Raw genomic sequence first — 25,465 nt, forward strand, 5'->3', positions numbered from 1 at the left:
AGTTCCAAAAGAGATGATCCGTGGAAAGAAAGATGAATTTTTGGTCAAATGCATACCAAAAATGGTATTTCAGTGGAATAATAACAAACACATCAAACACAATGCAACAAGGAAAACAGAAAAACCACTCCGTCCTTCCCATTATTTAACTTCCAAACATTTCACAGGAGGTACCTTCCCCATGATTTGACAGAACTGACTTGATTTTGTGTTGCCTTCCGGTGTTCCCATGCTTCCTTCGCTTACTAGATCAAGCCCTACAAAATACATTTCACTGGGTATTCTATCATGTTTCTCCTCAAGCAATGAAAAGTGACCTCTAGGGACAAATACTACACACATCAAGATGAAAGATGAATGTAGTCCTTGCTTCTGGAAAAAAAAAAAATGATTTACACTGTTTTAAAATTTGACATTGAGCTCAGTTTTTACTTTCTAAAACTAAGATACTGTACTAATATGATTGCAATACTAATAGATTAAGGCTCACACAGAACTTTGGAAGCAAATGTTCCCATTTTATAAACTGAAGGAAGAAAAGGTAAACACCCAATCCCATGTAAAATTCCATTTCCTTCTATTTATGACTCAATATTTGGCTTCAATTTTAGTGAGGCCTATTTAAGTTCAGTTAAAATCTATGGCAGGAAAGGCAAGGACTCAAACAGATCTTACTATTCCTATGAGAGGTGCAGAAAAATAAAAAACACTATTCCCTCAAGAGATACGCATCTTAAGGGTAGCTACCACTCCTACGCAGATAAGTGTCCAAAATCCCAGCTGCAATCTCTAATCCAAAATTTGCCATTCTGATCCAGCCTGCAAATTACAGCTTCCATGCAACTATACAGTTCTTCACTAGCTGTACAAACACCAGAGGGTTAAACAGCCTTACTTCAAGGAAGCAATAAAAGTAGTAAGTTTCAAAGCAGTGCAAACACACAGAAATCCCTGAACTTTTCCTACCCTATAAGGGCCCAAAATAAGCCTTTTAGGCCTTATCCAAGGAGTTATTAATAAATGTACTTAAAGAAATAGACTATATTTCAGCACTATCTTTTACCACCCTCTGGAATTTTGACTTGCTTTATGTAAATGACAATGGTTTTGTGACTAATTCACTAAGAATATATATACACATATGTGTTCACATATATATTCTTATATATATACAGTAAGAAGTAATGACTAAGAAGTTTAATGAATATAAAAGTGACAAAAAAAGACGGAGATAGTGAAAAGATAAAAGACATCCAGTATTTTTGACTTTCCATGGAGACTCAGTTGCTATTTGACATAATTCTGCAAGGTCACACCCAACTTCTACCACCCTAAGAGAATCTGCTCTCAATTCACAGAAGCTCACAGGAGACTCCTCTTTTTTGGCATGGCAGGTAGTATCAATGGAAAGTTATTTTCATTCATTAAAACTATCACCTACACGAGGCACACCCGGCTACCAAAGTCAATGAAAACTAAAGAAAAAGAACTAATGAATTCTTTTAAGTCTAGCCTAATCTACTTCAGGAATGATTAAGTGATGACATGATGCCCTCTTCACTTTGTGGCAGGGCTTAAAACAGACAGACCTGCCCGTTTCACTGTTAACTTCAATGCTCCCAGTCTGAATCCACAGTGGTCTGTCAGACACTGTAAGGGAGCAGCAGGACTCGTCACTGTCTGATGTAATAGCTGCCATTTGTTGAGACCTATGGTAGAAAAAACCAAGTTAACAAAAATAAAGCATTCGAGTTTTTTAATCCATCCATTTTACCAAAAAAATAGTTTTAAAATAAGACCAAAATTCAGGTGAATTTTCATAACAAATTTATTCTGGATAACTTGCTCGCTTCACAGAAGGAGAAGCTTTGGTACTAAATGAAAACAGACTTGAGAGCTGTGTAGACACAACAGCCTTTGCCAGGAGAGGGCACTCTCCGGCTCAAGTCAAATCCGCAGCAAGATGCAATGGGGCACACCAAGATTCTGCCCTCCAAGCAAACTAACAAATGAAAGGGGAAATGCTAACTCACACTGGATGTTCCTAACAAAAAATGTTTTACTAATCTCACGTTAGCCTATGTTGGAGAAGTCCTGATCTTCTCAGTCAGTATTCAAAGATAAGGCTGAACCGTCATCTCTGTCCACACTACATAATTAATGAGCTCAATGACCCCCTTTTTTTTTTTTTTTTTTTGAGACAGTCTCACTCTTGTTAGCAGGCTGGAGTGCAGTGGCACGATCTCGGCTCACTGCAACCTCCTCCTCCCAGGTTCAAGTGATTCTCCTGCCTCAGCCTTCTGAGTAGCTAGGATTACAGGCGCCCGCCACCACACCTGGCTAATTTTTTATATTTTTAGTAGAGATGGGGTTTCACCGTTTTGGCCAGCCTGGTCTCAAACTCCTGACCTCAGGTGATCCACCTACCTCGGCCTCCCAAAGTGCTGGGATTATAGGCGTGAGGCACCATACTGAGGCTCTTTTGACCCTTTTTAGCAAAATGACCAAAAACTGCCTCAACCCCTTTCCACTTTAATCCCAATAACCACACTTGCATACCATTCAGGACCTAAATTTACTGTGTGAGGTAATACCTCGTTGAAATAACAGTTATAACAAGATAAGCTTTTTTATGACACTTAAGCTTTCAAAACAGACTTCAAATACTAAGCGTAATTTAAATGAAGGACTGCTATCTTAAGCCTAATTTTTAAACATATTGGCTTGTTTGCTTACTTTCCTAACTATAAATAAAAAACAATTCACCTATCACATCAGTGTAGTCAACTCTGAGATCATTAGTTAGATAACATTCAGTCTTTATAATTGTTTTTTTAATGCTAAGTTAAATTAGAAGCAGCAGTATATAATGAAAACCTATTTATAAAAGGCTTTTCTGACACTGAAAAGATTTTGTATACACCTGATCTAGAAAAATAATTACTTCTGAATTTTAACTTGGGAAAATAATTTTTTAGGGTGAGATTTAATAATGAGGTATTTATCCTTTTGTTCATGGAAAAACTTAATATACTATCAACTATAACCCAACAGCAATCACACAAGAATAAGGGAATCTGAGTGCACTAAAGAAATTATCTGGCCGGGCGCGGTGGCTCACGCCTGTAATCCCAGCACTTTGGGAGGCCGAGGCGGGTGGATCACGAGGTCAGGAGATCGAGACCATCCTGGCTAACACGGTGAAACCCCGTCTCTACTAAAAATACAAAAAATTAGCCGGGCGTGGTAGCGGGCGCCTGTAGTCCCAGCTACTCGGGAGGCTGAGGCAGGAGAATGGCGTGAACCCGGGAGGCGGAGCTTGCAGTGAGCCGAGATCGCGCCACTGCACTCCAGCCTGGGCGACAGAGCGAGACTCCGTCTCAAAAAAAAAAAAAAAGAAATTATCTTTTGAACCTCTCCCTCTACAAGTAAAACTTGTTAGGTTTCAACAATCATTCTAGAGAATCTGCTTTTCAATTTTAAGCAAGGAGAGTCAAGATGTATCAAAGAATGATCTCATGTTTCCCTGTGCAATTCCTCACCTGCAACCCCCTGAAATGCCAAAATATTAACAAACCAGTCCCTGGTCCACAGTGCCTGGTTTGTGAGTCTTTTGTGCTAATGTTTAAGATAATCTTCCCCTCAATGCTTTTAGGATCTCGAGGCTTTTCTTTAGAATTTACCACTAGCACAGGATATCCATTAGGAAGAGCCAGGAGACCCAGCTGTGATGCAGTAAGTGGAGGGAGAGACCCATGAAAAGGCGGCAATTTCATCGGAAATTACTTATTTTGTCCTTTGAGAGAAAGCTTAAGTGCAACAATGGCAACTATTCTTGGGAAGCAGCAGAACTGTAATGGGCAAACCAGAACAGGGTAACCCTCAATCTCCCTCTTAGCGTGCACGAAAGAAGTAGAGTTTATGCTCTTAAAGAAAGCCCACAATTAAAAACTAAAAACTTAAGAGCATTAGACATTATCTCACTGAACACTCAAAATGAATTTTCTTAATACAGTAAAGCATGATGCAACATGAACAAGCAGGAAAAGCATCAACAGTATCTCATCTTACAATAGCCCTTCTGGCTTTCCAACCTTAGTGCTATTTTTCTAACCAGCTCTTTTAGACAAACTGCATGTAATTCTTCCCAGTATACCAGGACTCACACCAAGATGTGCCACACTCAGCCAGATTCCTTGCTAAAACTAAACTGTTGGGGGAGATGACAGATTTGTGATTAACAGCATCCCCAAAATGACCCATGGGTAAAAATGACTATCCTCTGGAAAATATGGCCAAACCACACACAGTTCAAGGCGTTGGAATGTGTGGCATTTCCCTCCTAGAAAGAGGAGACAATCTACTCAATCATACGAGCAGCAATAAAAACGAAAATGTTCAAATTAATCTCCACTTTTCCTCCATACGGCAAAACATTAAAATAGTAAAATGCTACGGTCCTAGGGAAGCACAGCATCTATGCAAATCAGCTAATTTACCCAAAAGCTGACAAATGTAGCTTTGTAGTTCTAACATCTTTGTGAAGTTCTCCTAATAGGACCTCCACTGCATTGGGCCCTACCAGCTCAGATACTTATGTGTCATGGAAAGGGTTCGGGATGTGTGGGGCATCTGAGATGGTCATCGGTCATTAGGACATGTCTGAACCAGAATTGCTCATCATTCATTCACAAGAAGACAATCATTTCCCCCCATGCCAGGCCCTGTGTTTGGCATAAGGGAGAGTAGAATAGGAAAGTGAGTACCAGATCACTGGAATTTGTGTGTTAAATAAATGAATGGGGCAAGAGTTGAAATATGTTAACACAGGTCTCCTTTAACCATAATCCTCATGACCTTCGATTCAGTTAACCTCTGCAAATGCCTATTAAAACTAGTGAGTCCATGCTACTTCCAGAGACTTGTGAATAATCATGCTATGATTTCTCAAAATTTTCAGGTACAAATAACATTGTTATATTTCCATTTATACTGAGTATATGTTGCAGAATGATAGTATCGAAAGCTACCAGAATTTACCGTGCAACACAAAGTGACTGCAGTGGTAGTAATGATGGCAAGTATTTATACAGCCTCATGCAAGACATTTTTTTTATTGCTTTAAATATTCTTTTAAATTCTCACAATTATCTTATGAGGAGATACTATTATTCTCCTTATTTCACATGTGATGATATTGGGAGTAACCTGCCTAAGATCACATAGTGTGTAAGTGGCTGATCAAAGTCAGGCTTTGAATCCAGCAAATCTGGCTCAAGAGCTTGTACTTTGAGCCATGTGCCTGAAAAGTGAAAGGGAATGGTTCTTTGCTCAATAAAAGCCTGCTATTAAGCACTACTGTTGCAAAAATCTTTTTTGTGTTTTGAGACAGGGTCTCACTCTGTCGCCCAAGCTGGAGTGCAGTGGCAGGATGATGGCTAACAGCAGCCTCAGCCTCCCAGGCTAAAGTGGTCCTCCCACCTCAGCCTCCCAAGTAGCTGGGACTACAGGCGTGCACCACCGAGCCCACCTTATTTTTTTGTATTTTTTGTAGAGACAGAGTTTCACCATGTTGCCGAAGCTGGTCTCAAACTCCTGGACTCAAATGATGCTCCTGCCTCGGTCTCCCAAAGTACTAGGATTATAGGCATGAGCCAAGGCACCTGGTCCTAAAAATGTTAATGAATGCTTAAACTCACCTGCATCACTGGCAAGTTATATATATATACTCCTAAGTATCCATTTCTTTCTTTTACACTCAACTCGATGACACTTTCACATTACAAAAAATTTTTCCACAGGCAATAAAAAAATTCTATCATATTTTACCTGACATCCCTAGGCTTTTTCAACAGCTTTTAAGTGAATCTAAATGAGGGACACTGAAGGGTACAAAATTACCTTAAATAGTAAAAAAAAAAAGAAAAAGAAAAACAAGAAGCCCTTGCTAACACCTGATATGCATTTTATTTATTTATTTATTTAGAGATGGAGTTTCACTCTGTTACCCAGGCTGGAGTGTGGTGGCACAATCTTGGCTCACTGCAACCTCTGCCTCCTGGGTTCAAGTGATTCTCCTGCCTCAGCCTCCCGAGTAGCTGGGACTACAGGCACCCACCACCATGCCCAGCTAATTTTTGTATTTTTAGTACAGACAGGGTAATCCAAACAGTACAGTACAGTAGAGACTGTAATCCAAGGTGCTAGGATTACAGGCATGAGCCACTGCACTCGGTCCCTGATATGCATTATAATTACAAGGTTTTTATTTGAGAAGAGGAAAAAAGTGTGATCATAACAGTCTAACACTTCAGCTATGAAGTATTTGGCTTTTCCTTGTAGATATTGACAACCAGGATAGAAAAAGTTATGAGAAGTTTTAATGATGGTTTCTGGTTAAGACTCAGATTTCCAAGTCAGTATAAGCAAGTAACTGTCACATTCTTTTTTTTTTTTTTTTTTTGAGATGGAGTCTCGCTCTGTCACCCAGGCTGGAGTGTAATGGCGCGATCTCGGCTCACTGCAACCTCTGCCTCCCGGGTTCAAGCAATTCTCTTGCCTCAGCCTACTGAGTAGCTGGGATTACAGGTGCGTGCCAGCATGCCCATCTAATTTTTGTATTTTTAATAGAGACGGGGTTTCACCACGTTGGTCATGCTGGTCTTGAACTCCTCACCTCATGATCCGCCCGCCTTGGCCTCCCAAAGTGCTGGGATTACAGGTGTGAGCCAACACGCCCGGCTGTCACATGTCATATTCTTTTTTTTTTTGTTTTGAGATGGAGTCTCACTCTGTCATCCAGGCTGGAATGCAGCGGCACAATCCTGGCTCACTGCAACCTCTGCCTACTGGGTTCACGGCATTCTACTACCTCAGCCTCCTGAGCAGCTGGGACTACAGGTGCCCACCACCACGCCCAGCTCATTTTTGTATTTTTAATAGAGACGGGGTTTCACCATGTTGGCCACGCTGGCCTTGAACTCCTTAACTCAGGTGATCCGCCTGCCTCAGCCTCCCAAAGTGCTGGGATTACAGAAGTGGGCCATCGCGCCCGGCCTTTATAACTGTCACATTCTTATGACACAAAGAAACTTCCATATTTAAATAATGACTGTTCTCAACTTCTTTTTAATGATACTTTACAAAATATCAGAAATGTGAAGAAAAAATATTTAGCTGGGCACAGTGGCTCATACCTGTAACCCCACCACTTTGGGAGGCTGAGGCAGAAGTTATTGCTTGAGCCCAGGAGTTCAAGACCAGCCTGGGCAACATAGTGTGACCCTGTCTCTATAAATAATTTTTTAAAATTGGTCAGGTGTGATGGTATGTGTCTGTGGCCCCAACTATGAGGCTGAGGCAGGAGAATCGCCTGAGCCCAGGAGGTCAAGGCTGCAGTGAGTCATGATTATACCCCTACAGTCTAGCTTGGGCGAGACTGAGACCTTGTCTCTAAATAAATAAATATATATATATATACACACATTTTTTTTAATTCACCTTTAAACCAAGTTTGCTATTGGTGTGTTTTTAACATCAAGGCTTTATGGGCCAGGCGCAGTGGCTCACGCCTATAATCCCAGCACTTTGGGAGGCCGAGGCGGGTGGATCACCTGAGGTCAGAAGTTGAGACCAGCATGGCCAACATGGTGGAACCCCATCTTCCTGCCTCAGCCTCTGGAGTAGCTGGGACTATAGGCATGAACCACCATGTTCAGCCTCATAAATAATTTGTCAATTGTGAATATGGAAGTCATTTAAATTAGTAATGGAATTAAACTACTTTCCAAGTTTTACATACCATCACACTTTTTGTCATATTTTAATAATATGTATACCATTTTTTGAAATTTACTTGCTTTTTCCACTTTTTATGTCAGTACAGTTAATGGAAAACAAATATGCCTTGATATAAAAGTTTATGTTACTGGAAGGGAACAGTTTTAACCAAAACCAACTAACTTCTAGGTAAGTGCAGTCACACTAATTCACCTAAAAATTTGGCAGTTACAGTTCTTAAAAATGGAGACACTGGCCGAGCACGGTGGCTCATGCCTATAATCCTAGCACTTTGTTGGGGGCCAAGACGAGAGGATCACTTGAGCCCAGGAGTTTGATAGCAGCCTGGGCAACAAAGGGAGACTTTGTCTCTACTAAACATTTTTTAAAAATTAGCCAGGCATGGTGACATACACCAGTAGTCCCAGCTATGGTAGGGGCAGGGGGCTTGAGGTGGGAGAACTGCTTGACCCCAGGAAGTCTAGGCTGTGATCTCGCCACTGCATTCCAGCCTGGGTGACAGAGTGTGACCCTATCTCAAAAAAAAAAAAAAAAAAGGAGGGGCTGGGGCACCAATTAGCATTGTAAGCTACAGTTATTTCCTTGTATAGGACTACAGGTTGATCAGGAAGGAATCCTGGAAGTGGGGTAATGCCAGCAGCATATTCCAATCACACCACTGACCAAGAAAAACACTCTTGTAACTTAATTTCCAACACCTTCTAGCAAGTGCCATCCTAATTTAAAAAATTTCTATCAAAACTAAATTACAGATGGAAGGTGGTGATGGTTGAACAACACTGTGAATGTATTTAATGCCACAGAACTGTATAATTAAAAATGATTAAGATGATAAATTTTACATCTATTTAACTACAATTTTTTAAATACCACACAAAAAAATCACAGTGCTCCATTAATATAACAAGGAGAAAGTGATTTCCATACATGCCACAAGGAAAGGAAAACAAAAATCCTGTTTGGATCTATAAACGTTAGGTCTCTTACTTGAGTAAAGATAAGACAAAGAGTTGTTTATCTTATATTAGTGTCAATTATCCATGGTAAAGACACCAAAATACCCTGGAAAACTAAAAATATACAGATCAGCTATATCACTGTGACTTTAAACTTCCTATTCCTTCGTTCAAAAATAGCACAACAAAGCATATTACTATTAGCTAATGCTTTCATTTTTTAATCCTGTTCTTTTGTTGAATGAAGGAATACAGTAAATCTACACAAACTGTAAATTTGGAATATGAAGGGCCTATTAACTAAATCAGAACCAGGTAAAAGTAACTAATGCACACTCGCCATTTTATTTTCTCCTCGAAATTGGCATGGCATCCTATTTCTGAATTCCCTTATGTCCGGCATGTTTTTTGTTTTGTTTTGTTTTTTGGGAGAGTCTCACTCTGTCACCCAGGCTGGAGTGCAACCTCCGCCTCCCGGGTTCAAGCAATTCTCCTGACTCAGCCTCTCGAGTTCAAGCAATTCTCCTGACTCAGCCTCTCGAGTAGCTGGGATTACAGGCGTATGCCACCATGCGCAGCTAATTTTTGTGTTTTTAGAAGAGACAGGGTTTAATAGAGACGGGGGTTTCGCCATGTTGGCCAGGCTGGTCTCGAACTCCTGACCTCAGGTGATCCACCTGCCTCAGCCTCCCTAAGTGCTGGGATTACAGGCATGAGCTACCGTGCCCAGCCATATCCGGCATTTTTTAAGAGATTGTTTTAATAGCTGTAATATAAGAAGAATACCAAAACAAAAACTAAATTTGCCCCAACTTAGAAACTGAGTCTTCATTCTCTCTGGAAAATTCCCTATTGGAGGCCATCACTAGGCACAAATTCCTGAATCAAAACATTAATTTTTCTAGACATTTGCCCATCTCTTTGGCTGTAAGTACTAATAAAAGTGAAAGCATGCAGCACAAACCATAGAAAATTAACAACTTAAAAGGGAAAACCTAATTTTAGATACAAATTATAGACTTAAGGTATTTCCAATTCCCAATTCAGTTATTCTAGACTTGTGACCTTTTAAACATAAGCAATTTTTAGAAAAGTACAACCTGCTTAAATAGGAGTGTAACTCAATTTAATATGTTGCAATTTAGATACTCAGGCTCACTAGTGAAGATATATTCATTTTGTTGATTTTAGTATCAGTTCCCTGTTCTTTGCCTCCAGTCTGTTTTCACATCAAAATTCCTGCCTATTCAACTTAGTACTAATCTACAATTACTATTTACAGATTTTTTTCCCCATCAAAACCATCTAGGGACACACCACCACGTTATGCAAAAAGGCTCCAGACTAGTGAATCCCAGTTTCTCTATCACACTGATATATAGGGTTTTTTTTCAGAGCCAGGGTCTCACTCTTGCCCAGACCAGAGTGCAGTGGTGTGATCATAGCTCACTGCAGCCTCCAACTCCTGACCTCAAGCCATCTTAGCCTCCCAAGTAGCTAGGATACAGGCGAATAGCTGGGACTATAGGCGTGCGCCACCATGCCCAGCTAAGTTTTTATTTTTCTGCAGAGATGGCAGCGGGGACGGGGGTCTATGTTGCCCAGAGTGGTCTCGAACTCCGGGCCTCAAGCAATCATCCCACCTTGGCCTTCCAAACTTCTAGGAATATGGGAATGACCCACCGCACCTGGCCTCTCACAGATAATTGTTTGGTCTTTGGTTCCACATCTGTAAATGAGAGTTGAATGGATGTTCCTTCCAAATGATTAGTCAGCTTCCTGGTCTATAAATTCTAGAAAGTAAAAAGGGAAAAATACTCTGATGCTTTACATTTCTGAGAATTTCCAGAAATAAAGACATTCTTAGCTTTCACAACTCTTCCTTCACTTGGTTTCTCCCCTGGCCAATCCTTTGTTTTAGCCACGACTCTTACTTAAGCCGCAGATTTGGTCTAAGCCAGTTTACTCCCACTCCAAGGGGAAAAAATACCCACTTCTGTTATCTCCATATCAAGAATAAGTGCCTTTTATCATTTCAAAGAGAAATATAAAGTGGCTACAACTACCCAATTCAACTCTATCTCCATCTGCAGTAGATACTGGACAAATTTATCTAAGACATTTCCATTGGAATAAAAGTTTTTAATATTCAGCTATTAGAGTTTAGAATACACATTTAAGATTAGAGAGATTCTTTAAAACTTGCTTCCCTACTGAAACTGCAAATGAAATATGCCAGACTGCCAGTTTAAAACGAAGGGGTCATTTGGCATATCATTTGTGATATGCTCAACCTTTTCCTCAAAGGTGTGTTCTACAAAACTGATTGTTATTTTTATATTCAACAATCATGTTTTTTTTTTCTTCTCTTTCCCCATGGCTTCTGAAACAAATCCAATTTGGTTTATGCCACAACAGCACATTTACCAAGCACTTGACCATATCAGTAATGTCTACTTCAAACTACTGTTAAAACTCACCCAGATCATTACACAAAGCCTTGGAATTACATATTTTGATGACTTTTAAGTCTTTCTGAACTTTAGATTTCAAACTTTTAAAAACACCTGATTGAACAAGTTCATTAATCTGAAACAAATACTTGGAAAATCTTTTAGGATAGTTCCTTATAACTTCTCAACCACACTGTGAATTTCAAAGAATTTTTTTTTTAAGTATAGTTGTTTCTGTTTGCAGGAAAGAATATGTTCTACTCAAGTGAAACATGTTTTCAAAATGTGTGTTTATTATAATCAAAAAGCATTGAGTGAGTTCCCCATAAGAAATTCTACTTGCTTCTGCAAAAATTCGCAATCAGTCAATAACCTTAAGAAAGCTGACAAGACTATTGATTTTCAATCTCCATTAATCTTTTCATTATGAGTTCCATAGTAACTACTTCAAATTGGATTTAGAAATCCACAAAAAACTGCTAAATTTTAAATTTCTAAAAGTATTGAAATTAGATATCCAAAAGTTAAGACACAAAGTATGAAAGCAACTTTAAAAATCTTGAGATAAACTTGCCTCCACAGCCAATCAGATATATTTCTCACTACTAATACAAAGCTAAAAATGGAAAATAAGAAATCAAATCTTAGGGACAGATGGACCATGTAGAAAAATAGTAAGCTAAGTTACTAGCCCCAAAAGCAGTGATACATGAGGCAGAAAACCAAACAGAAGAGACCGGTTGTAATTACCCGAATGTAAAAAAAGGAAGCATGTGATGAAATATTAAGACTAAAAATTAAAATTCACACATTTATGAGAAATTGGCAGGAAGGGGATATCAAATCTAAAAGCATTATCAAACCTCTATACTACAAAATCTTATTTTGAGAATATACTGATTCATCTCTCATTATTTGAAGTTTTCTTATCTCAGATAATATATTCCCTGATAGGGCAAATAGCAAAATAAAAGTTTGATTTTTCATCTCTTCTAAACACTCTTACAAAGAATAATTTTCTACCATCTTGAAATTTTTCAAAGCTTTTTGAGAAACACACACAAATAATTTGGATTTAGTTGATTTTATTTACAGCTTTTTTTTGGTTTTTTTTTTTTTTTTTACATTTCAGAGCATTACACAATTACATTTTCTCATTTTCTGACCTGCAAACAGATACCTTAAACGGAAATTATTTTGTTTTAATTATCAAATTAGGTACATCCAAAATGCAACAATTACACATATGACAATTAATTCACAAAGTATAATTTTACTGGGACATATCCTAAGAATTTAGGAACAGCCAGTCAGGAGAAATCTGACCAAATTTAGCAATCACTATTTACAAATCCAAAATCAAACCTATCTAAACTCCCAAACCAGAAGCTTGAAAGTATTTATTAAATCCCCACTGGACGAAAGACAGTGATGACTAACACCTATCCAGTCTTGACAGTTTTAATCCCAAACACTGGGCTATTTCCCCAGTCTGTAACTGAATTGCAACCATCTGTTTGTCAAACACCTAACCATCTAACTTTTACACCATTATGCGCATAGAAAGGCTAAGTGTTCATTATTTAAAAAACAAGTAGTCATTAAATATCCACTATTCCCCCAGCTCACCAAGCCCTTATTGCAATCCCAAATATGCAATCTGTGTCACACAGTGACAGGCTGTATTTCATATATATATATGTGTATATATACATATATATGTGTGTATATATACATACACGGATATATATATATACACACACACACACGTATATATATGTATATATACAGTATTAGGTACAAATGGCAATTAACAGTCCCTACAAAAATTCAATTTCAGTTGAGGCTATGGCTCCTATGCCTTGGGATGGTTTCGAACTTCAAAACTGAAAAATACTGCTAAAATCTCACTTCCTTAACACAAAATTTGATTATATGTTCAGTTTAAGCTCTCAGTCTAAAAATGGCTATAAGGTAAGTATTAAAAAGCCAGCCAACTGAGTGCAACTTCTCTCTCCAATCTGGCCACGCTATTTTGTAGAAATTATTCCTAACTAGACTAGAAAATCTGTGGTGACTTCCAATGGTCTTGCCTACCTTACTGCCCATGTTCACGTTTCAAACTGTGTCAACAAAGCCCGCACTTCGGGGGTCAGCTGCTTGGCAGCCTTAGCTGCCTCTGTGATAGCCTTGCGATACAGGCCCTTTCTCTTCTTATTAAAGCGTGACTGGAAGTTTTCTAAAAAGGGGGAGAGTTGTGAAAGAGCAAGGAAAGATGTTGTTGGAGACCCAAACCATGAAATACGGGCCTCCTGTCGGACTAAAAGGCCGTTATCTTTCCGGCTCACAGTTATAGTAAGAATACGGGCTGGCCACCAAGGGAAGCCATATATCTTGGCCCAAACAATGTCCCCTACACATATGGTCCTGCCATCTGGTGTGACGCATTTAGAGACGTTTTTGGAAAAGACTTTCATTTTCAAGGAATTACTGAGCTTTTTCTCTTCCTTTGAAGAGGAGGAAGTGGAGGAGGTGGAAGGTGCATGCATACTGCCTGGAGGAAAATCAAAGCTTTCAGAAGAACTACACTCAGAGTTGGAAGATTTCAAATCATCTGTGCTATCAATGCTACACACTGAAGCACTGGAAGAGTCAGATTTCTTTTGATTTAGGGTCATATAAACAGAGATATTGTTTTTGCTGCCCTTTTTGCCCAATGTCTGTGGTTCATCCTGATCACCAGGCACATGCACTTCATTTGTGTCCTGAACCTCACTGCTGGCCTCTTCAGGGCCTTTTGAGGGACTCTGATTTTCTGAAGGGGCCTCACCTGCTGAGCGGGTAGAGGTGCAGCGAGACTGGGGCTTGGGTGCCATCTTGCCACTCCGCATTTTCTCAAGTCCTGTCTTCAGAGAAGAGTCATTTTCTTCATTCCTGTACCTCTGTGGTTTTAAACGAACCCGGGGTGGAAGGGAACCTGAGCTAGGATTCTGATATCGACGTGTGAAATGGACTTTTGAATGTGCATTTTTGGAAGTAGAGGTTTCATTTTGCTTCTTTTGTGCCTTTTCTTTGGCAATTTTTAACACTTCCCGAGCTTTCGCATGATCCATGTTCTTACTCTGGAGAACTTTTTTAGTACTTAACTGAGCTTTTGATGTATTTGCCTGAGCAGAAACTTTTACTACTCTGCCTCTGCTGTGAGCAATATTTGAAACCTTAACCACAGCATTTCTTTTCTGGCTTTCATTTTGGTTTTTCCCATCCACTTTATGGTCAGTTTTCAGTTTTTTGTTCACAGTAGTTACACTTTCATTTCTCCGTTTTTTATCTTCATATTTAGAAGAGTCAGTTGCACTACTACCTTTTCTAATTTCCTTTTTTTCAGCAACAACACTGTTTTTACATTTATCACACAGAACTTGCCTGGGTCGTAGTTTAATAGCATTCATTATTGAAGTGGGTTCTTCCCTGTACATTTTTCGTTTGGGTCGCTTAATTTTCCGAGGAGGTGGCTGAGGTATTGATTGGTTATATGTGTCCCTGATAAACAAAGGGGGAGGATAAGGTGCTCCTTCATGGAAGAGAGGTGGTGGTTTGGAAGTCCACAGGCTTTCAGCCAAGCTCAGCTCGGGATGCGGGACAGGAGAAGGGTCATCGGGAACAGCACCATTTGCTTCACACTTGACTTCTGTCCCTTCTTGGAATGTATTACTTTGGAGCGGCATGGCTTCTGGTTTATCCTTATATTCCCTTTTGGGAAATACTGTCACAGGGATACCATGGGGCCCAAACCTTTGAAAGAAATGGAAGAAAAAAAGAAGACATTAAGTTAACATCTATAATTCAATTTCTTAAACGTAAACAACATCTGATGCTTATTTATATAACCTTTCCCGAAAACTATTTCATATTAAAAAACAAGACTACAAAAATCTACTATCTCTTCCCCCAAAAGTTCAAAGACCTTCATTTCTTTAGGTTCTACATTTTTGGTAAAAACAAACAGCTGCCCTAAGCAATGACAGAATAGTTGACTATACTTAAAGTAGATATTTCCAGTCTTGAATCAGAATGTTTTCTCAGATAGCTTTATGTTAAGCATCACATACATTACATTCACTGAACCATATACAACATTTTCAGTAAATGCAGCTACAACTTTGTGAAACACACATATATTTCTTCCTCTGGTTATAACAGCTTTCAAAACCTCCACAAAGCAAATTCAGCCTTAACTATCCAAAACTACTTAATGAGTAAAATCCCATCTCAACTTTATTGGTTAATCACTGAAGATTCAAAGAAAGTTGCTCTTTTACTCTTGCATCCTAACTAGTTACCTATTCTGTCTCCCAAAACACAAAAATATCAAGAACTCAGATACTCAAACTACTTCCAAAGCAAACAGTTACAGAGCTGTGGCTTTCTTTTTAAATCATCTCACATTAAGAAATATATTTGCATTGCAATCCAATAAAAACACTTAGGAATGGGCCGGGTGCAGTGGCTCATGTCTGTAATCCCAGCACTTTGGGAGGCCGAGGTGGGCAGATCACGAGGTCAGGAGATCGAGACCATCCTGGCGAACACGGTGAAACCCCGTCTCTACTAAAAATACAAAAAGATTCGCCGGGCATGGTGGCAGGCGCCAGTAGTCCCAGCTACTCGGGAGGCTGAGGCAGGAGAATGGCGTGAACCCAAGAGGCAGAGCTTGCAGTGAGCTGAGATCACACCACTGCACTCCAGCCTGGGCAACAGAGCAAGACTCTGTCTCAAAAAAAAAAAAAAAAAAAAAAAAAAAAAAGACTACTTATGAATGTATACATGCATCCATATATACATAAATACACACACTTAAGCAAAAGTTTCACCAAGTACTTAACCTTGTATTTTGTGATACATAATTTCTTTTCTACTCTGGCCTACTTCATTTGCTTTAAGGCTAGTCAGACCCATTAAACTGATTTGAAAACTCCATTACGGGTCCAGACTCTGTTTGCAAACCATGGTATCTAATACGAATCTTTAAAATTCTCAGTTTCTAATAACCTTATTTCATAAATAGAGTTAGAAATAACAGTGGCTTAACGTGCCTGGGCTGAATATCAAGAACCTGATCCTTAAAATAAACTTGCTATACTAAGTTTTCTTCACATAAAATCAAATCACACTACCAAATAATTTCAGCATATAGGTTAGCATGTTGACTATATGCACTATTTGATTCCAACAATATCTAACACAATACAACTGTAATGCCAATCCTGTAAGGCAAAGGGGCTTAGATCTAAACCCAAAGATTGGCTTCAGGTAGTCAGTCACGTGGAACCTTCAAAACTAGATGCCAGTGTTTTATATATGTCTATATTTTCTACACTACAAATCTTCAGTGCTCAGATTCTCCGAAATGTTCTTTTTTTTTTTTTTTTTTTTTTTTAAAGACAAGATCTCACTCTGTCATCCAGGCTGCAGTGCAAGTGGTACCATCACAGCTCACTGCAGCCTCGACCTCCTAGGCTCAAGCAATCCTCCCGTCTCAGCCTCCCAAGTAGCTGGGACCACAGACACACGTCACCATGCCTGGCTAATTTTAGTATTTTTTGTAGAGACAGGGTTTCACCATGTTGTCCAGGCGAATGCCTGAGCTCAAGCAGTCTGCCCACCTCAGCCTCCCAAAGTGCTGGGATTACAGACGTGAGCCACCGTGTCCAGCCAGAAATGTTCTTATGCTCCCAAAAAGGTTCAGAATACCTTTGCTAGGAAGAAATCTTGATATTAGGTACTAACAGCTGTGGACAAACCTAAACGTGGGCAGGATTTACAAAGAGCCAGCATACACCAGGTATTATTCTAGCACCTGAATACTTTTTTCCCAAAATTCTTTGTTAGTCTGGCTACCACAAACCAACAACTTACAGCAAATACTTACAAAACATAAAAAGGAAAGGCTTTTTTTTTACCTACGGTAAGACAAGATTAGGTCTCGGATAGTCCAAAAAGGAAAGGTACCTCCTATTGTATCAGACTGCACAGAAAGTTGCTTTCTCCATTCTAACTTCTGGTAACCAAGTGTTTGCTTCCTGACTACTTAACTCAAAGTAACTTTAAGCATTTAACCCTTTCTTACACAGTACATAGGTGCTCATTAACCACTTTTTCAAAAGATGACAGGACAAAAGAGGTGCTTCTTGTGTTTTAATGCAGAACCAACATAAACAATGTGACTTATTTGATGTGATATCACTACTTGCATTAACAATAACATTTTCTAACTTGTAAGAAGGCATAATTTTGCCCCCATCACATGTTCACGTTTCAATACCTGAATGAAGAGAAGTGCCCTTCCTCTTACTGATTTATAAAATTTTTTTATAGAGACGGTGCCTCACTCTGTCACTCAAGCTGGAACGCAGTGGTGCAATCATGGATTGCTGCAGCATCAACCTCCTGAACTCAAGCAATCCTCTCATCTCAGCCTCCCAAGTAGTTGGGACTACAGGCACCTGCCACCATGCCTGGCTCCCTTCCTTTTATTAGGACTAACTAAACCATACTTATCTTAATGTTTGAGGTGAAGTTTCACAGCTGTCTTTTATCAACTGTTTGTATCCTCTAAACTCATTTTTGCATGTGTAAAATGAAACACTATTTCTGACCTTAAAAGGATTCAGATAAAGATCAATAGGTGAATACGCGGCAGCCATTTTCCTTGGTTAATATTTACTTTATTTAATTTGCTTCATGTAAGTGATTTAATCTTATTTTCAAACTAGTAACTTACAGCCTGATGCAGTGGCTCACGTCTGCAATCCTAACACTTTGGGAGGGTGAGGTGGGCAAATTGCTTGAGCCCAGGAGTTTGAGACCAGCCTGGGCAACATAGGAAGACTCCGTGTTTCTACAAATAGGAAAAATTAGCCTGGTGTGGGGGTATGTACCTGTGATCCCAGCTACTTGGGAGGCTGAGGTGGGAGGATTGCTTGAGTCTGGGAGGTCAAGGCTTCAGTGAGCCATGTTCGCGCTATCGCACTCCAGCCTGAGCAAGTGAGTAAGCCTTTGTCTCAAAAAAAAAAAAAAAAAAAAAAAAAAAAGGCCAGGCACAGTGGCTCACGCCTGTAATCCCAACACTTTGGGAGGCCTGAGGTCAGGAGTTCAAGACCAGCCTGGCCAACATGGTGAAACCCCGTCTCTACTAAAAATACAAAAATTAGCTGGGTGTGGTGACACGCGCCTGTAGTCCCAACTACTCGGGAGGCTGAGGCAGGAGAATCGCTTGAACCCGGGAGGTGAAAGTCGCAGTGAGCCGAGATCGCACCACTGCACTCCAGCCTAGCAACAGAGAGAGACTCCGTCTCAAATAACATAACATAAAAATAAATAAAACAAATACAAAAACAAAAAACACCTAATAATTTACTAGAGGTTTTTTTTTTGGGGGGGGGGGCGGTTGTTTTGTTTTTTTGAGACAGACTCTCACTGTCGCCCAGGCTGGAGTGCAGTGGCACAATCTCGGCTCACTGCAACCACCGCCTCCTGGGTTCAAGCTATTCTCATGCCTCAGCCACCTGAGCAGCTAGGATTACAGACGCGAGCCATCACGCCTGGCTAATTTTTGTATTTTTAGTAGATGGGGTTTCATTATGTTGGCCAAGCTGGTTTTGAACTTCTGGCCTGAAGTGATCCACCAGCCTCAGCCTCCCAAAGTGCTGGGATTACAGGCGTGAGCCACTGCAACCAGCCAATTTTGCTAGAATTTAGGCTCCTTCCCATGTCTTTAATTTATACTCTCAATGCAAGTATGGCCCAGCCAATTATTTTATAGCTGTTTATATCAAGTAATGGAATCTGGTATGTTTATCTTTATGAAGTTCAGTAAGAATGTTAATATTTCGCAACTGGATTGTTTTTATTCTCTGCTGTTCCCACATAAGCATACAAAATACTCAAGCGTTAAATGCTTTTAGTAACATAGGGAAGAAGCACCTAATTGTGTAATGATGAGTGAAAACTACAATAAGGGGGAAAAAGGGGAAATAAAAATGGTAATTGTGTGTGGGTAGTGAATGCCTGGCAAAGCGGAAAAATATTTCAAAATAATAATAAAACATCCTCAAAGGACCAAAAAGATAAATCACTTTAAGAAGAAATGGGGATCACATGTCTGTCTTTGCTTCATTTCAGTAACCATGCTGTCACCCTTACACAGATAACACCTAGGGCAGTGTTACCAAACTAAGGATGGAGACATTAATTTTGAAATCAATTTCAGGGGTCACACTATGATTAAAATAAAATCAGAGTTAAGAGTAGAAGTAAATATCTGTAACTGCAATGAATCTGTTTCACACATGTATATAAGGATATATGGATCCAGATGTAAAACAGATTTTCTAAGTAGGCTAAAATGTTTGAGAACCACTAACCTATGAAACTATAAACTTAATAAGAATATAAAGTAGAAACAAAACTATGGTCCCTTAAAAACCCTAATTTCTCCTAGCCTGACCAACATGGTGAAACCCCGTCTCTACTAAAAATACAAAAATCAGCCAGGTGTGGTGGTGCACGCCTGTAATCCCAGTTACTCAGGAGGCCGAGGTTGCAGTGAGCTGAGATCACGCCACTGCACTCCAGCACTCCAGCCTGGGTGACAGGGCGAGACTCCACCTCAAAAAGAAAAACAAAACAAAACAAAACCCTAATTCTTCAAGTACAGTCTGTGAAAAAACACATCACAACTCCTCGGAGTGTTTGCAGTGGAAATTCCTAAGTCCTGCCCAAAACATAAATCATAAAACTTTCCTATAGTGGAACTGGAATCTGATATTTTAGCAAGCACCTTTGCTTTAGCTTTTTCTAAGGGAAGACATTTACGTCTCATGTGAATGCTCACCAAGATTTTATTGAACAAGTGTTTAGGTGAAAGGCTGAAAAGGCTGACTGGTATCCCTTGCTTTAAGTTTTCCAAAATAACTTTCTACAAATACTCCCAAGAGTTGAGTAATAAGATACCCTACCCAATTTGTGCAGCATAAAGGCATGTGTTAACGTATTAGTGACTCCTAACCCTTATCCACTTTCAGTCTTTAACCACTACCCAAAGATTCTAAACTAAAACGATTCAGGTATTACGGCTTAATTAAAAATACTGCAACTGTCTGCAAATCTGCAATTCCTTGAAAATAAAACTTTCTGTGAATCTGTAATACTATTCAAAAAGAAAATTTCTTTTTAATAGAGACGTGGTCTCCCTATGTCGCCCAGAGTAGTCTTGAACTCCTGGGCTCAAGCAATCGGCCTGCCTTCCATAGTGCTGGGATTAGAGGTGTGAGCCACCACAGTCGGCCCCAAAATTCTTTTAAAATAAATATCTTAATAATTTAGGAGTAAGTGCCAAAAAAAAAATTTTTTTTTTTTTTTTGGAAACAGAGTCTCACTCTGCTGCCCAGGCTAGAGCGCAGTGGCCTGATTTCAGCTCACTGCAACCTCCACCTCCCAGGTTCAAGCAATTCTCATGCCTTGGCCTCCCAAGTGGGTGTGTGCCACCACGCCCCGCTAATTTTTGTATTTTTAGTAGAGATGGAGTTTCGCCATGTTGGCCAGGCTGGTCTCAAACTCTTGGCCTCAACTGATCTGCCCTCCTTGGCCTCCCAAAGTATTAGGATTACAGGCGTGAGCCACTGCACCTGGCCAGTGCCAAAATTTTAAGGGGGAAGAACACTAGGGTTTAACAGTTACTTTGTGTTGCTGGGCACAGTGGCTCACGCCTGTAATCGCAGCACTTTGGGAGGCCAAGGCAGGCGGATCACCTGAGGTCAGGAGTTCGAGACCAGCCTGGCTAACATGGTGAAACCCCATCTCTACTAAAAATACAAAAATGAGCAAGGCATGGTGGCGCACACCTATAGTCCCAGCTACTGGGGAGGCTCAGGCAGGAGAACGGTTTAAGCCTGGGAGACGGTGGCTGCAGTGAGTCAAAATATCGCACCACTGCACGCACTCCAGCCTGGGAGACAGAGTGAGACTTCATTCTCAAAAAATAATAATAAAAATAAATAAATAAAAATTAGCTAGGCGTGGTGGCACATGCCTGTAGTCACAGCTACTTAGGAGGCTTGAGGTGGGAGGATTGCTTGAGCCATGATTGGACCAATGCACTCCAGCCTGGGTGACAGAGACCCTGTCTCAAAAACAAAACAAAAAAAGGCCAGGAGCAGGAATGGTGGCTCATGCCTATAATCCCTGCACTTTGGGAGGCCAAGACAGGAGGATAGCTTCAGGCCAGGAGTTCACGACCAGCCTGGTCAACATAGCCAGATGGTGTCTCTACAGAAAAAGGAAAAAGAAAAAAACAATAATATCCAGATTCATTTTATTTTGAGCCAATGATTTTAGAAACTACCTTGCCTTACAAACAGCAGCAAACTAAATCACGGAAGAGGTAAAACTGAAGCAAGCTTATTGTGGTTCATATTTCATCTCTTTGTGAGACTGGTTACGATGTCAAAGTTTAACCTGAGAAAAAATGAAATAGCTAAATGCAAAAGAAAATTTTACAAAAAGTTAAAAATGGAATTACGATACAATCCAGCAATCCCACTTCTGGGTACATATCCAAAAGAATTGAAAGCAGGATCTCAAAGAGATATTAGCCAAAAAGGTGGAAGGTGGAAGCAACCCAAGTGTCTACTGACATATGAAAGGACAAAGTATGAGCTAGACAGATAGAGATATATAGATATACAAATATATTATACAAAATAATAGTTTCAGTCTTAAAAAGGATGAAATCATAGGCTGGGTGTGGTGGCTCACACCTGTAATCCCAGCACTCTGGGAGCCTGAAGCAGGCAGACTGCTTGAGGCCAGGAGTTCAAGACCAGCCTGGCCAACATGGTGAAACCCTGTCTCTACTAAAAATACAAAAATTAGTGGGCATGGTGGTGCATGCCTGTAATCCCAGCTACTGGGGAAGCTGAGGCACAAAAATTGTGTGAACCCAGGAGGCAGAGGTTGCAGTGAGAAGAGATCACGCCACTGCACTCCAGCCAGGGTGATAGAGTGAGACTCTGTCTCAAAAAAAAAGGAAATCATGGCACATGCTACAACATGAATGAGTCTTGAAGACATTAAGTAAGCCAATCATAAAAAGATATTGTATGAATCCACTTACATGAAAAGTATCTAAAGTAGTCAAATTCACAGAAGCAGAAAGTAGAATGGTTGACAGCAGGTGGAGAAGCAGAAATGGGAAGCTGTTGTTTAAAAACTATTGAATTTTAGTTTTGCAAGATGAAAAACTTCCGGAGATCTGTTTCACAACAATGTGAATGTACTTAACACTATTGAACTGTATCCTTAATGGTTAAAATACATTTTGTTATTTTTTTTTTTACAATTTCAAAAAACTTTTAAAAATGTGCATCTAAGACAGGCATGCCCATAGTCCAAAGTATTTAGGAGGCTAAAACAGAAGCATCACTTGAGCCCGAGTTCGAGGCCATCCTGGGCAACATAGAAAGAACCAACTATTAAAAAAAAAAAAAAAAATGCGTGGCCGGCCACTGGGGCTCATGCCTGTAATCCCAGCACTTTGGGAGGCCAAGGCAGGTGATCACCTGAAGTCAGGAGTTCGAGACCAGCCTGGCCAACATGGCAAAATCCAGTCTCTACTAAACATACAAAAAGTAGCCGGGCGTGGTGGCATGCGCCTGTAATCCCAGCTACTTGGGAGACTGAGGCAGGAGAATCACTTGAATCCAGGAGGCAGAGGTTGCAGTGGGCCAAGATCACACCATTGCCCTCCAGCCTGGGCAATAAGAGTGAAACTTGGTGTCAAAAAAAAAAAAAAAAAATGCAGCCAGGTGTAATGGCTCACGCTTGTAACACTTTGGGAGGCCAGGCAGGTGGATCACCTGAGGTCAGGAGTTCAAGACCAGCCTGGCCAACATGCTGAAATCCCATCTCTACTAAAAATACAAAAAATTACCCAGGGGTGGTGACAGACACCTGTAATCCCAGCTACTTGGGAGGCTGAGGCAGGAGAATCACTTGAACCAAGGAGGCGAGTTTACAGATCATGCCACTGCACTCCAGCCTGGGCAACCAGGCGAGACTCCATCTCAAAAAAAAAAAAAAAAAAAAAAAATGCAGCCAGGCATGGTGGCTCAAGCCTATAATACTAGCTAATCAAGAGGCTGATCACTTGAGGCCAGGAGTTTAATTAAGTCCAGCCTGGGCAACACAGTGAGACCTGATCTCATAATTAAGTAAAAAATTAAAATATGAAACAATGAAAAAAATAAATGTATATCTAGCTAAATATAGAGGGGAAAGTTTTATGAGAAGCAGTACATTGGTAAAGAATTATTAGTGCAAGGGAAACAGTAATTACATAGCGGAGAAACAGGACAACACCCTAACTTGAGGGAGAATCAAAGTACACATTGCCAATGAGGGCACATGGCTATCATGGGCCTGCAGATGTGGTGTTCCGAGAACACAACATTGCCTGCATAACCTAAATCTCTCAGGAGTAAATATCAGGCAAATCCAAATTGAGGAACAGTCCTTATTACATAATTGCTACATAATTATATTGCAAGTAAATGTAATACATAATCATTTACTAGAGAATAAAAAACACATTGAAGGAAATTTTTATCGGAAAAATTGAAGAAATAATGAAACATGAGATACAAAGTAAAGTACTCTATCAATGTTTCTTTAATTTGAAAACTATACTGTGGCTATAGTTTTCCTTTGATCTTAGAAAAGAAATGCTCCAGCATAAGTAAAGGAGAATGATGTCTTCAACTCAGTCTCAAACAGTTCAGGAAACAAATTTATTTACATAGAGAATGACAAATTAAATGTGGCAAAATGTTACAAATGAGTGACTCTAGAAAGAGTTTCCAAGAATTCTCTGCTATGTTTCAAACTATCTAAAAATAAGAAGCTAAAAAAGTGTTTTTTAAAAGCATGAATTCAGTTTACTTAGTTCCACCAATACTTCTATGCAAAGAAAGCACACAAAAAAGAAAATCTATCCAACTTAAGTGGTAAATGCCAGCAAATTCACCTCAATTATCACTAAGCATAAGTCTATATGAAACACAGTGAGACCCCCATCTCTTAAAAATAAATAAAATGTTTAAAAAACAAGTATGCTAACTGGTCTGATAGTATAAAACAGTCTCAGCCCTAGGACACAGCTTCAGTAGGTGAGACCAGAATGTACCAGTCAATGCCAAATGAGGTTACAGTCTTCGGAAGGAAATAAATCACCGTGGATTAGTGATCAGGAAATGGGCTTTGCAGGGAATGGGACCTAGAAAGGCTCAAGCAGATTAAGTGAAGAGCAAAACAGGGAGTGGTAAATGGTGAAGACTAGTTATCCATTCTGAATATTATTAAGGATTCAGAGGCTTACATAAGCAATAAAATAAAGGTGATCCATCTGGCAGAAAAAGAGGAGGGCATGTTGGTGAGTGTGCCTGAGTGGAGAGGGCTGCCAGTTTAAGAGTATGATAGACGGAGAATAACCAGTCTCTTAATAAGAAGGCTGGCTGGGAGCAGTAGCTCATGCCTGTAATCTCAACACTCTGGGAGGCCGAGGTGGGTGGATCACTTGAGACCAGGAGTTCAAGACCAGCCTGGCCAACGTGGTGAAACCCCACCTCTACTACAAATACAAAAAAATTAGAAGGGCCTGGCGGTGTGCATCCATAATCCCATCTACTCAGGAGGCTGAGCCAGGGTAATGGCGTGAACCTGGGAGGCGGAGGTTGCAGTGACCCGGGATGCACCACTGCACTCCAGCCTGGGCAACAGAGTGAGACTCTGTCTCAAAAAAAAAAAAAAAAAAGAAATGAAAAAAGAAAAAGAGGAGACTGGCTGAGAGTGATAGCAATGGCTCATGCCTGTAATCCTAGCACTTTAGGAGGTTGAGGCCAGGAATTTTGAGATCAGCCTGGGCCACACAGGGAGACCCTGCCTCTACAAAAAATTAGCTGAGTGTAGTGACACACGCCTGTGGTCCCAGCTACTTGGGAGGCTGAGGTGAAAGGATCGCTTGAGCCCAGAAGGTTAAGCCTGAAGTGAGCCATGATGGCACCACTGCACTCCAGGCGGGATGACAGAGCAAGACCTTGCCTCTAAAAAAAAAAAAGGACAGAGAGAGAGGCTAGTGAAGTCTTCTGTCTAGTGATGTAATTAAATGTATCTAAATTACTTTGTTAAAAACGTGGCCAG

At 40.1% G+C, this 25,465-nt stretch overlaps 1 protein-coding gene across 13 annotated transcripts in view, besides 5 other annotated features; it reads right to left on the reverse strand.

The window, feature by feature from the left end:
* Positions 1-25,465, reverse strand: part of PWWP2A (PWWP domain containing 2A) — a 75,135-nt gene that overhangs the window by 34,746 nt on the left and 14,924 nt on the right. For 5 of the 13 annotated variants that reach the window (XR_007058578.1, XM_011534424.4, NM_001267035.3 and 2 more), the window contains one exon: positions 14,040-15,004. Coding sequence is in view for 10 of the 13 variants with exons in the window: in XM_011534424.4 (XP_011532726.1) it covers positions 14,040-15,004 (965 nt within the window). In the remaining 3 variants the exon portion in view is untranslated. Of the gene's footprint in view, positions 1-1,589; positions 1,710-10,444; positions 10,550-12,277; positions 15,005-25,465 lie in introns of those variants that run through there. The other 8 variants (NM_001130864.2, XM_005265812.4, NM_001349732.2 and 5 more) reach the window with 3 other exon arrangements.
* Positions 1,030-1,936: an enhancer, noted in NCBI's record as "NANOG-H3K27ac hESC enhancer chr5:159507098-159508004 (GRCh37/hg19 assembly coordinates)". NCBI's record gives its function as "activates a minimal SCP1, AML or CMV promoter by ChIP-STARR-seq in primed H9 embryonic stem cells {active_cell/tissue: H9 hESC(primed)}" and the evidence as "EXISTENCE:reporter gene assay evidence [ECO:0000049][PMID:30033119]".
* Positions 1,937-2,842: an enhancer, noted in NCBI's record as "H3K27ac hESC enhancer chr5:159508005-159508910 (GRCh37/hg19 assembly coordinates)". NCBI's record gives its function as "activates a minimal SCP1, AML or CMV promoter by ChIP-STARR-seq in primed H9 embryonic stem cells {active_cell/tissue: H9 hESC(primed)}" and the evidence as "EXISTENCE:reporter gene assay evidence [ECO:0000049][PMID:30033119]".
* Positions 7,453-7,620: a silencer, noted in NCBI's record as "fragment chr5:159513521-159513688 (GRCh37/hg19 assembly coordinates)". NCBI's record gives its function as "represses an EF-1alpha promoter that drives an FKBP-Casp9 reporter gene in an ReSE screen in phorbol 12-myristate 13-acetate-treated (for megakaryocytic differentiation) K562 erythroleukemia cells {active_cell/tissue: K562(+PMA)}" and the evidence as "EXISTENCE:reporter gene assay evidence [ECO:0000049][PMID:32094911]".
* Positions 14,390-14,439: an enhancer, noted in NCBI's record as "active region_23554". NCBI's record gives its function as "activates an Ori minimal core promoter by ATAC-STARR-seq in GM12878 lymphoblastoid cells {active_cell/tissue: GM12878}" and the evidence as "EXISTENCE:reporter gene assay evidence [ECO:0000049][PMID:35858748]".
* Positions 14,520-14,679: an enhancer, noted in NCBI's record as "active region_23555". NCBI's record gives its function as "activates an Ori minimal core promoter by ATAC-STARR-seq in GM12878 lymphoblastoid cells {active_cell/tissue: GM12878}" and the evidence as "EXISTENCE:reporter gene assay evidence [ECO:0000049][PMID:35858748]".

The sequence above is a fragment of the Homo sapiens genome, chromosome 5 (assembly GCF_000001405.40).
Source record: "Homo sapiens chromosome 5, GRCh38.p14 Primary Assembly".
Lineage (NCBI taxonomy): Eukaryota > Metazoa > Chordata > Mammalia > Primates > Hominidae > Homo > Homo sapiens.